We start from the raw sequence: 14,112 nt of genomic DNA, 5'->3' as shown, positions 1-14,112 counted from the left end.
CCACTAAAAGCCTTGCCCGGAGCAAGAAGGAAGCTTACCCTGCCCACCCCTCATTGCCCCTGGCTCCTGTTCCCCTTTCCAATGCTAGCAGTAGGGCAAGAGGGAGGTTTATTTTCAACGTGAAACTTAACTGTATATTTAATTCCTTCTACCAAAGCCTGCATTAAGGCTAATGCATTACAAAACATACATACCCGCAAACTGTTGAGATAGTGAGCATTGTTTTAAGCTATTCATCTCTTTGTCAAAAAAATATACATAGCCTGAAACCATCACTAAAGTAGCAGATTTTACTTTTTTTAATTTGAATTTTCCAAATTCTGTTGGTCTTACCCTTCAAGTTTATTTGTGCCACATGTACATAAACTAACCTACTTTCTCAATATTTTGCAATTTGTGAAAAAATAAAGCCTGTTGCAGGCATGAACAAAGTGGCAGGGAGGTTCCAGCCTGAGAGTCTGGAATCCTTTTGTGGTGAAGACTCCTAAACTGTCAGCAGGAATCACACTCCTTTTCTTCCTTTTAATAACAGACCCAATTCCCTCTCTACCTCTCTGTATTCACTGGCTACATGGCTGCCTAGTTAGGGACTATCTTTAGCTAGCTGTGTCCACATGACTCAGTTTTGGCCAATACAATGTAAGTGGAAGTTAAAGTGATGCGTATAACTGAAAAGGCTTGCCCTGGACTTCTTCGTCATCCTCTTCCTCATCTGGCTGGGGGGAATCAGTACAAGGACAGAGCCAACTGACCCACCTGGAAACTCTTTACCTTGTGGATCTGCTCACCGTTGAGCTGAATTTGAGAAAAACAAACTTCTACCCCTTGTTTTAGACACCAGGGTTTTGTATCTTTTCCTTACAGCAGCTTGCTCTCTACTTTAACCAGTACAGCAAGAAATGTATTCTCTCCTAACAAACCCGACCAAGAATCTTCCCCTACCCACTAAATGACTTTGATTTATTAAGACAACTTAAAAGCCAAATTAATGGAATTAAGTAACATTTATTTTACATAAAACAATTTCCAGAGAATACATTTAAAAACCATCTAGATACTGATTTTTTAGCATTACAAAAAATTGAGAGGCACAATTGAAGTATTCAAATAAATTGTGAGGGGTGGAGGTGGGGACTATGCTCACTATCTATGTTGTTCCTTAGTCACTTAAAGGCTCTGCGTGCAAGAGTCTTTACATGAGGCAGTAGTGCACTTTCATTTAGTAGGAATAAATCACATAAAATATATACTTTTATACAGAAAGTGTTATTGTGTTGTCATTTTCAATTACTTATAAAAACTTCATTTGAATTGCACAAAAGTTCTCTTTAAAATTGATAACTCCCAGAAGACAGGGCTTAGAACTGTCTAAATAATTCATTACAAATAATTAGGTTTCCATTTATCCATAGATTAAAAAAACTATGAAGAATTACGTTATTCAAGTGGGACATTTAAAATTTTTTTCATAGGAAAATAGGTTTACATGTTTGTCCCTAGTCAGCTAAATTTCCCACCCCCCAACTTTAAAACAGATCACAGGATGTCCAAAGTTTTAAATCAGAGTACCTATATCACAGTACAGTGTGGATATGTTTCCATTAATTCATTTTATGTCTCATTCTATTATAGTATCAAATTAGCAAAAAGGCACCTGGGTACATTCTTCAGAACAGTTTTGGTCGTTTTAAAAAAATCACACATTTATAAGCAGTGATTTCAATCATGTTTAAAAACAAAAATATTAAACAAATTCATTTCCTAATCCAGATGATACAGAATCCAAGAAATTTCTGTAGGCACTTCACTTTCCATAGAACTTCTTGTTCAGCAGGTATATGAGAAGGTTTACATTCACTTTAACCTTATCAAACATTTTCATTACAGCTACTCCTTCATATTGCATCTGAAGTAAATCCTGAAATTGTAAAAAGCATCATTAAATCTCAACTTTGACATTTTGTGCATTTAAAAAACATATTAGAAGAATTTGTTGACAAAAGTCAGATTCAATTGACCTAATCACCTGGGTGGGGTCTAACTATGTTGCCCAGGTTGGTCTCAAACTCCTGGCTTAAGCTATCTTCCCACCTCAGCCTCCCGAGTAGCCAGGACTACAGGCGCATGCCATGGCACCAGGCCATAGATGGGGGTTCTAAAACTTAAGTGTACATCAGAATCATCTGGTTAAAAACATAGGCTAGTTAAAATAAAGGCTGCCTGGGCTCCTCCCACAGGAATTTCTTGTTATGTAGCTCTCTGGTGGGGCCCATCAATTTGCATTTTAATAAATTCCCAAGTGATTGTGACTTAGATGAAAGAAAATAGCTTTTTGGAATTGATAAGGGCTGTATGAAAGTAAATGATGATCATTAAGTTAATGTCAGATATATAATTTCAATTTTTAATCGAAAATGTTAAAACACAAAGTTCTGGCTAGATGCATATTCTTTAGAAAGCAGTGTTTTCTGGCTGGGTGTGGTGGCTCATTCCTGTAATACCAGCAGTTTGAGAGGCTGAGGCAGGTGGATCACTTGAGGTCAGGAGAGTGAGACCAGCCTGGCCAACATGGCGAAACCCCATCTCTACTAAAAATACAAAAATTAGCTGGGCGTGGTGGTGCACACTTGTAATCCCAGCTACTCAGGAGGCTGAGGCAGGAAAATCACTTGAACAGAGTAGGCAGAGATTGCAGCGAGCCGAGATTGCACTGCTGTACTCCAGCCTCAGCGACAGAGAAAGACTCTGTCTCAAAAAACCCGAAAAACAAAAACAAAAACAAAAACAAAAACAAAAACACAGAAAGCAGTGTTTTTTTAAAGTGAAGTGAGCAAGACATTCACTGGGGAAGCAAAAAGAATATTAGAACTCCTATTTCTATTTATTTTTTCTCATTTTTTGGACTTTTTTGGTATATAATACAGCACGTTTTAGAGTACAATAGCAGAAGCATGTATACTTTACAAATAACTATGTATGGAGAGAAGTGCTCATACTATTTCCTGATGAAGTGACCAAAGTTTGGAGACCATTGTACAAAGCGGTGGTCCGCACTTCTTGAACTAGGCTACTTCTGTTTCTGTACTGAGAACAAGCCCTCATTCTTAAGTCGAACTGTCATTCTGTTTTTCACTGCCAGCATATAAACAAAGGAAATCAACTCTCTTTTTAAAATAAGTAACTGGATCACACCAGCCATATGCATGAAACTAAGCTGTAACATTTCATAGTAACATAGGTACAGGAAGCCTTTCCCAATGGAAGATATAATTCCTGAGCTGTCCTGGCCCAATATCTAAGTCTCATTTTCTTGTTTCTAGCAAGGTCAATTGTAGAAGTTGGAGTCATCTTTGAGAGAACTCTGACTCTTGGCAGCTTCCTCCTCCACTTCCTCAATTACCTCTCACTGCACTTAAGAAAACCCCTACATTATTCAGATATGCTTCTAGAACTAAAATTCTATAGGGAATTGAAGTCCTTTCATCAATAATACTTTTAGCTATTTAGAGTGTAGAGGAGATTCACTTTTCCTCTGGGAAATGCAACATCTGTTAAACAAAGTCTAGTGGAAAAGAATTAAACCAATAGAGTTAGATTGAAAAGGAATGGCATATGTAGGGGAAGTAGCTGGGTCCCCAAAGTAGGGAGCAGAGAAAACATGGCTGGACTCATGACTTGAAAAGCAGACTTTAGTTTTAGCTCTGCCATTTGCTATCTTAAGACCTTGCAACATGACATAACTTCTCTGAAGTTCTGTTTCCCTGTGTGTAAATTGGGGATAACACTGCCAATTTCACAAGGGTGCTACTGGGAATGAGATATGAGATTAAGGTATATGCAAACCCTTTGTAAGCTACTCTTGTCTTGCAGGATCAACTGGAATCCTATGAGACAGGCAGTGGACTAGAGTGATGAAGAACTTGGATCCCAGCTGCATTATCTTCCATAATTATCCCAGCTAATTATCTTCCATAATTAGCTGTCTGAACCTCAGTTCTTCATCTAGGAGAGGAAGAAGGCCCACCCTGCAGTCCCCGATAAATACCTGACATTATTTTTACAAGAAGAATATATATCACATAAGTCATATCCTCCTGTTACCTATATGGCCTATAATTATAGGATATAATTCTATCCTATGGTTTTCTTTAGGAACTGAAGGGAAAATGGGCTGAAGATAACCAAGAGACATAGAGCTGTAATGTTAGAAGGGGCTTTCTTTAGTCCTTTCAAACTTTGGTCCTGTTCCTGGTCCTTTACTCACAGTAAGGACCTGGCCATCACATTTCTCTTTGACAATTTACACATTCATGCAATTGACTGAAAGCTGCATATATAAATAGAAGTCTGCCTTTACATCTGACAGCTATCAAATGCAGGGCTGGCTCCGTGGGTATGCAATCTGTGCAGCCGCACAGGGTCCCATGCCCAGGGTTTTATTCTCTTCTGTCATCATCCTAAAATCCTTAATAATTTTAAAAACAGGGCACTGCATTTTTATTTTGCTCTGAGCCCTGCTAAGGATGTAGCCAGTTCTGATTATGCACTACTGATTTAAAAAACCCAGGACATACTGGTCACCTGCATATAGCTAAGGATTAACATTTCACAATCCATTATGTGTATAAATGAATGGTATGAACAGCTAATCTTACTGTATACAGAATCCTTAACAAAGGAACAAGTGAAGCTTGGTTTTTATACCAGTACTCAAAGGAAGTCTCATGGAATTATTGCTTTCTCTCTAAACACAATATAAGGTGTCTCCTGGTCACTTGTGACTCATTGGTCCAGTTGATATTGACTGGCCCTGGATAATTTCCTTCTTGGCAATCACATATGTCTTTTGCTATTTCTACAGAGGAATCACTAACCAAAGGGTATCACCACAAGCACCTTCTTTTCTCTTCCTGTATTTATCTGTTACACAAAATAACTGAAGACCCTAATTAGCTAAATTATTAAATGGATACATTTAGTGACATTTAAAGTAAGTTAGAAAACAATACTGTTTACTTAATTATACTTTCAATAATTACATAATAGCTTTCATCTTATCTCCGAATTCTAATTTACTCCATTATCTCAATGTCCTTATCAAACCCATTCAGCTCCCGTTTTTCTTTTAAACTTACAAGGGCTGCCAGAAAAGAAGGGCTCTGGCACACACTCCCATGATGGGGAAGTAATTCCAGTGCATGGAGCCCTGGGCTGCACAGACAGTGAGGCCAGAATTCACATCACTCTCAGGATCTTAGTGAGATGATTCATGTAAACATATGCAAAATACCTGGAAACCATTTTGTAAGTAGTTTGGGGCCCAGGTAAGATGTTATTTCCATTTAAAAAGTGTTACATCAAAAAAGAAAAATAAATTACTTCTTTAAATTGGTTTTGTGCTAAGGATTAAGAAGTTGGGGGCAGATGAACATTTGTTTGCAGTGCTCTCTTTTTTTTTTTTTTTGCACAGAAACTGGATTTCTCGGTTTTCATTTACGTGTATTTGGCTTAAATGTGGCTCTTATGATAAAATAACGATAATTTATATTGCAAACACCATTTTTCTATGTATAGATATCTGTTTTGCATAATGCCTTTCATTCCTGTGATCCCAAGCATTTGACAAATAGAGTTAATAAATTGACGTAAAAACTATTCTAGGGGCCAGGTGTGGTGGCTAATGCCTGTAATCCCAGCACTTTTGGAGGCTAAGCCAGGCAGATCACTTGAGCCCAGTAGTCTAAGACAAGCCTGGGCAACGTGGTGAAACCCTGTCTCTACAAAAAATACAGAAATTAGCCAGATGTGGTGGTGTGTGCCTGTAGTACCAGTTACTCGAGAGGCTGAAGCAGGAGGATCGCTTGAGCCCAGGAGGTTGAGGCTGCAGTGAACCATGATTGTGCCACTGTATTCCAGCCTGGGCGACAGAGCAAGACCCTTTCTCAATGCCCCCCCCCACCCCCTCCCCCCACAAAAAAGAAAAACCATTCTAGGAAAGAGGGAAAAATGAGATCATGAAAGTTCCAGTCCTGGGCATACATGCCACTGTATTCCAGCCTGGGCGACAGAGCAAGACCCCTTCTCAATGCCCCACCCCCACCCCCTCCCCCCACAAAAAAGAAAAACCATTCTAGGAGAGAGGGAAAAATGAGATCATGAAAGTTCCAGTCCTGGGCATACATAGTCTTAGAAAGAAATGCAAGTTTCCAATAAAAGGAAAATTTATAGCATTTATTTAATAGCTCTGAATACTTTTAAATTATATTCTTTTGTCTAAGCTTTAAAATGGAAACATGGCTTAGAGAAACTGACTGCTATGGTTTGCCAGCTAGAAGCATATCAATTTCCAATCATTTGAAAAGTCACAGCTCTTAAAAATCATCAACACTTAACAAATATTGGCAAATAAGGCTGGCACTGGTTTTCTGTTAAACTTTATTGTTGTCCTGAAGAGAGAGAGCCAGGGTAGCAATGTATGATCCACATATAAAATTTATCATCAATGTGCAGAAATTCCAGCAGCTTACCTGAATATTGAGTTGCACCTTTTCCATCTCAACACCAAGGAATTTTGATCTTACATCGAAAATGCCTACATCTTCAGTAGCTATGATATCAAATGTAACATTCTTAAACCTGTGAAGAAAGGAACATTCATACATGAGAAATTACAAATACAGATGTGCTTAAAGCTGAAACAAACTAATGGAATCTCAAATAATCATTTTTAAATAATGGCTTGTTGAGAAAATCCTAAGGAAGTCACCAAAAACCTCACGTCATCTTTCCCCCAATTCTGCTCTCCAAACACTAGGTTTGATGGCTATTGTTGAGATCTGTAGCTCATAGAGTTCTGACATAGGTGCTTTATTACAAAAGAAATAGAAGATACGGTCCTTGCTCTTCAAGAGCATAAAACATAATTGGAAATATGTGAGTCACAGAACATGAACATTATTGACCTATAGCCAATTGAGTATTTCAGATGATAACTTTTATAGAAACTTCAGGCCAGGCGCAGTCGCTCACGCCTGTAATCCCAGCACTTTCAGAGGCCGAGGCGGGCGGATCACCTGGCCAACATGGTGAAACCCCATCTTTACTAAAAATACAAAAATTAGCTGGGCGGTGGCATGTGCCTGTAATCCCAGCTACTCGCGAGGCTGAGGCAGGAGAATCGCTTGAACCTGGGAGGTGGAGGTTGCAGTGAGCCAAGATCCCACCACTGCACTCCAGCCTGGGCCGCAGAGTGAGACTCCATCTCTGGAAGAAGCATTTTCTTCTGAGTTGGTGTTGTCAGGAGGTTTCATGGGATAAACAGAAGTCAGGCTTTGAAGGAAGGCAGGAGTTAAAGAAAAGGCAAATGCCAGTGAGTCTGGCTTCCCTTGAGATTTTAGGACAAGAAAGTGATGGAACACTGGGCTCATGACCCCTTTAAAAGGAGGCAGCACATGGTGCCTGATGTGGGGCTGTGAAGGAGGGTTTGTTTTTTCCACTACACCGAATACACACACTCACAGCATGCTTTGGAAATGGCTCTGATCCAGGGGTTGGCACAGCCTATTTTAAATGAGAAAGGTGCTATTTTGCAATGGTAGATAATTCATCCATCAAGACCAAAAGACAGCCTTTTACTCTCATTGCTATGACTCAGTTCTGGAGGTTCACCAATCCAAACATATTGCACAAGCCACGGGAAAGACAACCACTGATCAACACTACATATGACTGACAGCACCAGATGCTGAGGCCAAGGGAAGAGTAGCCATAACAATTTGTGTATTCTTCCCTTGTCACCCATCAGTAATTGAGGTTAAGCCTTGCTAGACCAAATGGAGCTCTCTCCAAGGCCACAAGAAATCAAATGGCATGCGTGTTCTATGCAGATTCCAGGTCACACTTACTGGTTTGTTTGAAGATCATCTATATCTAGCAGGACACCTTTCTCATGCAGCTTTGCTGCAGTGTACTTCACTGGCTTCGCTCTCTTCGCCCCTTTGGGTTCTCCTTTTCCATCTAGTTTAATTGATCTCCGAGTATTTCTGACAAAATAAGAACAGAACATTTGTTGTTATGATGGCAAATGCAGAGGCTTCTGGTAGTGCGATTACCATACTCAGAGTGACATCGCTGTTCATACCTGGCCCTCAGAGCGCTGAATATACACTTTTTTATTTTGTGATAGTAGGTAATTTTGTCCATAGAGTGCAACTTCACTACTAAACTGTTTGTGGGGAAAGGGATTTCCCAAGTGACTGAAGTTTGCATTACAGACTAACATTTTTAATAAAACTTACACTCTATTTTCTCAGGTATATTGAACCAAGTGGCTATCTTTAGTCATTTCAGAAGTAGCTTTGGTGCAATAACATGAACTGTGTATTCCTAGATAACGATATTACTAGGACTGTTTTAATCTATTTAACAAACACTATGTGGCTAGCATTGTTCTAAGTGCCTTATAAATATTACCTCACATTTCCAAAATTAACATTTCCATAGTACTTTTAAACTAATAAATTCCTTTGCTATATACTATATCATGTAGCTCTCATAACCATACTTGTGAGTCTGGTACTCTTTGCTTTTTTGGGGGGAGGTTTTTTGTTTTGTTTTGAGATGGAATCTTGCTCTATTGCCCAGGCTGGAGTGCAGTGGCGTGATCTTGGCTCACTGCAACCTCTGCCTCCCGGGTTCAAGTGATTCTCCTGCCTCAACCTCCAGCTGGGATTACAGGCACATGCCACCACATCCGGCGAATTTTTGTATTTTTAGAGGAGAAGGAGTTTCGCCACGTCAGCCAAGCTGGTGAGGCTGGTACTCTTAATTCCACCTTAAGGATGAGAAAACTGAGGCTCAAAGTTCACTGAACTGGGCTCAAGATCACACGACATAAGAGAGAATCAGAACCCAAATCCAATTCGCCCGACTGTGGATCTTGTGTGAAATGCCTTAAAGTAAATCCCTAACAATCTCATTTCTACTGAAAGTAAGCTTGACCAACTTCTTCCTTGCATGTATATGTATATATTCTTCCTTCCTTCCTATATTTAGTGTATAGTGTATATGTTTATGTAATTATAAGTGCATATGCACACTATATGTAGTGTGTGTATATACATATTTAGTGTATTTTTGTATATATATATATATAGAGAGAGAGAGCACGAGAGTGAGAGAGAGAGAGAGAGAGAGAGAGAGAGAGAGAGAGAGAAACAGAAAGAAGCCTGAAGCAAATGAACTATATATGGAGAGAGAGAGAGCACGAGAGTGAGAGAGAGAGAGAGAGAGAGAGAGAGAGAGAGAGAGAGAGAGAAACAGAAAGAAGCCTGAAGCAAATGAACTATATATGGAGAGAGAGAGAGCACGAGAGTGAGAGTGAGAGAGAGAGAGAGAGAAACAGAGAGAAGCCTGAAGCAAATGAACTATATATGGAGAGAGAGAGAGCACGAGAGTGAGAGAGAGAGAGAGAGAGAGAGAGAGAGAGAGAGAGAGAGAGAGAGAGAGAGAGAAACAGAGAGAAGCCTGAAGCAAATGAACTAAAATTCAGGACTAGTGGGAGCCAAATCAATAAGGTTTAAATGTGGCTGCATCCCTTTATCAAATCTTCTGTGATTTCAGCAATCCAACTTCTGGGTGTTTACTCCAAGATGTGAAATCAGTTTGTCAAAGAGATGTCTGCACTCCCATCTTCATTGCAGCACTACTCACACGTTAGCTAAGTTATGAAATCAACCTAAGAATCTACTAACAGATGAACAGGTAAAGAAAATGTGGTATATATACACACAGAAGAATACTATTCGGCCCTAAAACAAAGAAATTCTGACATTTGGGGCAATGTGGACAGAATTAGAGGACACTATGCTAAGTGAAATAGGCCAGGCACAGAAAGGCAAATACCACATGTTCTCGCTTATATGTGGAATCTAAAAAAGTTGAACTCATAGAAGCAGAATAGAATGGTGGTTTCAGAGGCTGGAGGGTGGGGGAAACGGGGAGATGATGGTCAAAGGATATGAAATCTTAGGAGGAATCAGTTTTTTTTTGAAATCTATTGCACAGTGTGGTGAATATAGCTAATAATAATGTATTGCACATTTAAAAACTGCTAGGAGTAAATTTCAAGTGTTCTTATCACAAAAACTAAGTATTTGAGGTGATGCATATATGAATTAATTATTTCACATTGTAATAATAAATGATAACATCACCTTGTACCCCAGGAATACATAAAATTATAGTCAATTTGCAATAAAATTTAAAAGATCTATGATTAATGCAACAGATTTTTCCATACAGCACCATTTCCTCCTGCCAATTTGATGACAAGGATTATATAAAAATATTGTACTACATATTTAAATGGGTAATTAAAATTTAACTAGCATTGATCATAGTCTAGTGATAAGAATAATTACTAAGCAAAGGATATTCATTAAAAATGGCTATACTGTATATAAAAACCTATAATACTTATGCTAATGGATAATAGACAGCTGCCAAATTTTGCCAGTTGTGTCAATAATTTTTTAAAACCATGAAGCAATTTAAAAACATTCAGCTGCTCTGTGCAATTAGCAAACACCTGGCATTATCTAATATTATCAATTATATAAAATACATTCCAAAAACAAGAGACTTTAAAAATAATAGTATTTAAAAAAATCTTTGGCTAAAAAAGACAAAAGGAATAATGAAAGTGCTTCCCTAACTTACTAATGCTATTTGCTCAATATACAACAGGTAAGCCACTTTAATTCTAGTGCTGGTGGGGAATTGAAAAGCTTTCACTTACTCCTGACTTCTTAGTTCACAGTGGCAAATAATAAAACTGAGACTCTAGTTTTCGGTTAGAAGACAGAGCAAAAAGTTTTCTTCCATACCCAACCCAACTGCCTAGAAACACAGAATTGACATCTCATAGAAATCATGACATTACAAATGAACATGACATGATTTTAACTTACTTTCTTTTTAAGTTGTCTAAACAAGTCTTTATGTAGGTGTCATAATAATTGATTTGCTCTTCATAAAATGCTGCCTTCTTGTTAAGTGCATTCAGGGTCTGCTGAAGTTTTGCCAATTCAGCTTTTCGAAGCTTACGATAGATTCTTTGATTTCGAATATCCTAAAACAACAAGTAAGGGGTATCATATTTAAGCAGAAGTTTGCTTTATGATATTGCCAGTTTGGGACAAGAAGAATATCAAGCAGTAGTAAGTCGCTATTTGTAACTTGACTTGTAGCTTATCTCAGGCACCTTATTTTACTCTCAACACCACAGGGTTCCCATCCCTTTTTACTTCAGAACTGGAAAGTGTACATATTTCACTTTAAGAGACTTGTTAACATTAATTTTGCTCTGGATGGAAAGGCAAAGAAGTTATTTTAGAATAACCACACATTTAGTTTAAGGAAAAATTGCGTTTTAAAAGGGGCACAAAGTAGCAGAAATGCAATTTCTTCAGACTTTTTTTTTTAGACATAGTCTTGCTCTGTCACCCAGGCTGGAGTGCAGTGGCCTGATCTCTGCAACCTTTACCTCCAGGTTCAAGCGATTCTCCTGCCTCAGCCTCCTGAGTAGCTGGGGCTGCAGGCCCGTGCCAATATGCCTGGCTAATTTTTGTATTTTTAGTAGTTACAGGGTTTCACCATGTTGGTCAGGCTGGTCTTGAACTCCTGACCTCAAGTGATCTGCCCGCCTCGGCCTCCCGAAGTGCTGGGATTATAGGCATGAGACATTGTGCCCAGCCTCTTCAGACTATTTTGAATATTCCTCTTTGAATAGTACTTTAAACTAAAAAAGTTTACATTTAATTGTTAAATTCATTTTTAAAATAAGAAAAGAACAAACTTTTTCATCTGACAAATATTTCCCAAGGTTTGAAAAAACAACACTGGGCTGTCAAGACTGAGTGAAAAGATTCAACATTGATAACTATTACTTGGATTTAAATAGAATTCCTAGAACATTAAGTTGCATAAGCTGCTTATAGCTTACAAGAGCTATGCTAAATTTAAACTTGCAGATATAAGTTTTTTTCATAATTCTAATTGGTAAGTTATGAAAATGTTTGACTTAAGAAAACGGTGCCTGTTTAATATTATTTTTCTTTTGTAAACAAGTTAAAAACCATTCCCCTAGGAATTCAAAGAAATACCTACATACACATACACTCCCCCACAACTTCCCCATGCCCTTAGGTAAAATTTCTTCATTAAATAGAATATTCTTCATTAAATAGAATTCTTCATTAAATAGAAATTCTTCATATAATAGAATATTCATTAAATAGAATATCATGTCTTCATGATAGCCTTTTTCTTTTTTAAAGCAAAAGCATATATTTATCTACCCCATATTCCCAAATAGAAATATTTCTACCCCCAAACTAAAGAAAGAAATGTTATTTCCCTTGAGTCACTTGGGCTAGAAGGAATAAGCCTACTGCCAGAATTGAACATAATTTTCTATCAAAGAACAAAGCTGAGCGCATTTCCCTTCCAGAAGGTGAGAAATTTTTTTTTTTTCTGGTCATTTAACTGCCTTTAACCTCTAGATCCATATTAATTTGCATGTTTGAATAAAAAGAATGAAATATCCTTCTAACCCAAATATATACTTCCTTATCCTTGACAAACAGATCTCAGCCACTTCCTGTGATGTTTCATTGCACTAAGTTGAGATCCTTTGCTCAGGAAGTTTCTCAAGTGTAAAAATATTGGATAAGAAAACAGAAACTAATCTTCAAGTCTGAACTGCATTTAGGCTAAATTGCTTAAAAACAAATGATCAGGGACACAGAGTTCCATCTCAGTGGCAGGTTCTAAGAGCAACTGAGCTATATGACAACTAACATCTCAGGAGAAAACTCTTCCAATAGTGTTATTTTTAAAACTTTAAAGGTATAGACCAAACTTGTCAAGTACATTTTTTAGTATTTATTTCTGGTCTGTTTCAACTCTCCTAATGACATGAAAGTGTTGTGATTGTTTTCTCTTAAAAGTCATCAACTGCTTGGGAGGCCCCGGTGGATCACCGGGTCAGGATTTCGAGACCAGCCTGGCCAGCATGGTGAAACCCCGTCTCTACTAAAAATACAAAAATTAGCTGGGCGTGGTGGTGCGTGCCTGTAGTCCCAGCTACTCAGGAGGCTGAGGCAGGAGAATCGCTTGAACCTGGGAGGCGGAAGTTGCAGAGAGTCGAGATTGTGCCACTGCACTCCAGCCTGGGCAACAGAGCGAGGCTCCAACTCAAAAAAAAAAAAAAAAAAAAAAAGTCATCAACTGCTTTGAAACCTTGAAAAATCTGTAGCATTGAAGAGGGCAGTAACCACAGCATATGCAACCATGAATCCCTAATGCCACCTCACAGAGTGCCCAGCACTTGACTGGTGATTAGCAAATGTCTGCTAAGTGAAGGAAGAAAGAATACTGTTTCCAAAAACCTTGGCAATCTCATTGAGAATGTCTTGGTATTTATTTTCGGATGACACGTGTCCAGTCTGTTCCAACGTCCGAAGATTCCTCTGGATTTTCCTCTTCTTCTGCTCAAGAGGCAGCTGTGCATCTTCAATCATAGATTGGCTATGCTTCATTTCTTCTGGAGTCCTGGAATCTATCATTGCACGGCTCACCATGTCCGTGGCATGGTCTACCTCCTGAAAAGAGAATATCAAGATGCTGAGTTTTCTCTGATCCCCTAATTTCACAGTTCATAAGCTACACAATGCAAGTTAATGTCAAAATGAAAGTAGTCCTCCAGCCAAAGTTCAGAGACTAGAACCAGAACATGTTCTTCCTGAGTTTTGAAGTAGGTCTTTGAAAGGAATTACTTCATCTTTTCGATAGCAAGCCTTATTTGGGAAAAATTCTCAATAGCTACTTTATTGCCAAGGTGACAAATCACTATAGTAATGGACATATTTTAATGGATAACTGCTACTTTGTTCCCCACATGGAAGGATTTCAATTCCTGGATAGGCTAGCTGAGGAAACTAAAACTAGATTACCTATTGAAATGTGGCTATGAGAACCCTGAATGTTCAGAACCCAGCTAAACTCTCACACATCAGCCATGTTTATGGAGAGTCCTAAACTAAACCAACA

The 14,112-nt window shown here is 38.4% G+C and overlaps 1 protein-coding gene across 12 annotated transcripts in view; it reads right to left on the bottom strand.

Annotated features, from left to right (window-relative positions):
• The window catches only part of IQGAP2 (IQ motif containing GTPase activating protein 2), a 304,848-nt gene continuing 291,721 nt past the window's right edge, over positions 986-14,112 (bottom strand). For all 12 annotated transcript variants that reach the window (NM_006633.5, XM_017008960.2, XM_047416641.1 and 9 more), the window contains 5 exons: positions 13,452-13,664; positions 10,971-11,131; positions 7,905-8,042; positions 6,528-6,636; positions 986-1,918 (listed from right to left, as the gene is read on the bottom strand). In NM_006633.5, coding sequence (NP_006624.3) covers positions 1,805-1,918; positions 6,528-6,636; positions 7,905-8,042; positions 10,971-11,131; positions 13,452-13,664 — 735 coding nt within the window. In that variant the 3' untranslated portion in view covers positions 986-1,804. The remainder of the gene's footprint in view (positions 1,919-6,527; positions 6,637-7,904; positions 8,043-10,970; positions 11,132-13,451; positions 13,665-14,112) is intronic.

The sequence above is a fragment of the Homo sapiens genome, chromosome 5 (assembly GCF_000001405.40).
Source record: "Homo sapiens chromosome 5, GRCh38.p14 Primary Assembly".
NCBI lineage: Eukaryota > Metazoa > Chordata > Mammalia > Primates > Hominidae > Homo > Homo sapiens.
The sequence above is the reverse complement of the archived record's forward strand: the minus strand, read 5'-3'. Positions and strand labels throughout refer to the sequence as shown.